Here is a 3,173-nt window from a genome sequence, read left to right on the forward strand (position 1 = left end):
AGGTTTTCTTCTAGGGTTCTTATGGTTTTAGGTCTAACATTTAAGTCTTTAATCCATCTTGAATTAATTTTTGTATAAGGTGTAAGGAAGGCATCCAATTTCAGCTTTCTACATATGGCTAGCCAGTTTTCCCAGCACCATTTATTAAATAGGGAATCCTTTCCCCATTGCTTGTTTTTGTCAGGTTTGTCAAAGATCAGATAGTTGTAGATATGCGGCGTTATTTCTGAGGGCTCTGTTCTGTTCCATTGGTCTATATCTCTGTTTTGGTACCAGTACCATGCTGTTTTGGTTACTGTAGCCTTGTAGTATAGTTTGAAGTTAGGTAGCGTGATGCCTCCAGCTTTGTTCTTTTGGCTTAGGATTGACTTGGTGATGCGGGCTCCCTTTTGGTTCTATATGAACTTTAAAGTAGTTGTTTCCAATTCTGTGAAGAAAGTCATTGGTAGCTTGATGGGGATGGCATTGGATCTATAAATTACCTTGGGCAGTATGGCCATTTTCACGATATTGATTCTTCCTACCCATGAGCATGGAATGTTCTTCCATTTGTTTGTATCGTCTTTTATTTCATTGAGCAGTGGTTTGTAGTTCTCCTTGAAGAGGTCCTTCACATCCCTTGTAAGTTGGATTCCTAGGTATTTTATTCTCTTTGAAGCAATTGTGAATGGGAGTTCACTCCTGATTTGGCTCTCTGTTTGTCTGTTATTGGTGTATAAGAATGCTTGTGGTTTTTGTACATTGATTTTGTATACTGAGACTTTGCTGAAGTTGCTTATCAGCTTGAGGAGATTTTGGGCTGAGATAATGGGGTTTTCTAGATATACAATCATGTCATCTGCAAACAGGGACAATTTGACTTCCTCTTTTCCTATTTTGCCCATTTTTCTATTGTTATTTTGTTCATTTCCCTTACTAACTATATGTAAAGGAAATTAGCTCTTTGTTATACGTATTATAAATATTTTCCCAGTTTTTCATTTGCCTTTTGTTTATAGTATTTTCCCATGCAGATAAGAATGATTATTTATTTATCTATATTATTTTAATAAATCATAATTGTATACATTTTTGGGGTACAATGTGATATTTTGATATATGTATATAATGTGGAATGATTAAATCAAGCTAATTAACTTATCTATCATCTCACTTAATTTTTGCGCTGAGACTTTTGAAATGTATTCTCTTAGCTATTTTTAAATATACAATACATTATGATTAACTACAGTCACCCTGTTGTGCAACAGATCTCAAAAACTTATTCCTCCTGTCTAACTAAAACTTTGTTACTCCCATATGATTCAGCAGTCCCACTGACTGAAATCAGTATGTCAAAGAGATATCTGCACTCCCACGAGCATTGCAGCACTATTCACGATAGCCATGATATAGAATCAACCTAAGTGTTCCTCAATGGATGGACGGATAAAGAAAATGTGGTATGTGCATGCAATGGAATCAAATTCAGCCTTTAAAAAAAGAAAATCCTGTCATTTGTGTCAACACAGATGAACATGGAGGACATTATGTGAAGTGAAATAAGCCAGACACAGAAAGACAAACACCATGTGATCTCACTCATATGTGTGGAATATTAAAAGCCATGGATTTTGTTCTGGGTGCAGTGGTTTATGCCTGTAATTCCAGTGCTTTGGGAGGCCAAGGCAGGAGGATCACTTGAGATCAGGATTTCGAGACCAGCCTTGGCAACATAGTGAGACCCTGTCTCTTAAACTTTTTTTTCAAATTATCTAGGAGTGGTGGTACACACCTGTACTCCTAGCTATTTGGGAGGCTGAGGCAAAACGATTGCTTGAGCCCAAGAATTTGAGATTAAAGTGAGCTATGATCATGCCACTGCATTCCAGCCTGAGTGACAGAGCAAGAGCCTATCTGCAAAAAGTGGAAAAACAGGCTTTTATGAAATAAAATTCATCAATCTTTTTCTACTGTAGCTTCATTATTTTACATATTTCATAAATTTTGGTTGAAACATACTGTACAGAAAATTGCACATTATCATCCATATCATAAGTATGATTTAATGAATTTTCACTAGCTATATACTTCCATTAACCAGCACCCAGATCAATAAACAAAACAGGACCAATACCCTGGGTGTCCATTTTGTGCTCCCATGCAGTCACTGTCTGCTCCATTCCACACTTAAGATTTGGTTCATTTTGTATGGTTCCATTTGTTAATATAACATTTTAAAAATTCATTTTACCACATTTTCTTTGTTCAGTCTATTATTGATGGGCATTTATGTTGATTCCATATCTTTGTTATTGTGAATAGTGTTGCAATAAACATACATGTGCGTGTGTCTTTATAATAGAATGATCTACATTCCTTTGGGTATATACTCAGTAATGGGATTGTTGGGTCAATGGTATTTCTGTCTTTAGGTCTTTGAGGAATCACCACACTGTCTTTCACAATGTCTGAAATAATTTATATCCCCATCAACAGTGTATAAGGAATACTATGCAACCATAAAAAAGAACAAGATCATGTTCTTTGCAGGGACATGGATGGAGCTGGAGGCCATTATTCTTAGAAAACTAGCACAGGAACAGAAAATCATATGCCAGCATGTTCTCACTTACAGATGGGAGCTAAATGATGGGAACACATGGACACACAGAGGGGAACAACACTCACTGGGGTCTTTAGGAGGGTGGAAGGTGGGAGGAGGGAGAGGATCAGGAAAAATAACTAATGGGTACTAGGCTTAATACCTGGGTGATGAAATAATCTGTACAACAAACCCCCATGACACAAGTTTACCTATGTAACAAACCTGCACTTCCACCCCTGAACGTAAAATAAAAGTTTTTAAAAATTCATCTTAAGGTAAAGAGTTAAGTGCAGGATCCAATATTTTTTTCAGGTGACTATGTAGTTGTCCCAACACTTTTTATCTTTTCTCTACTGATATGGCATTCCAACTTTATCATATACCAGTTTCTTTTAGATATTCGAACCTATTTCTGAACTCACTTTTGTTTCATTGATGTGTCTATTTATTTATTCATGGTTTTAAGAAGGGGAATGACAGTCTATATTTCTAAAAGATCACTCTAGTTACTGTGTGGAGAATGGACTGTGAAGAGGAAGAGTGGGCAGAGAGCAAGTATGGAGACCATTTACAAGGATGCTGTAGT

Source organism: Homo sapiens, chromosome X (genome assembly GCF_000001405.40).
Source record: "Homo sapiens chromosome X, GRCh38.p14 Primary Assembly".
NCBI lineage: Eukaryota > Metazoa > Chordata > Mammalia > Primates > Hominidae > Homo > Homo sapiens.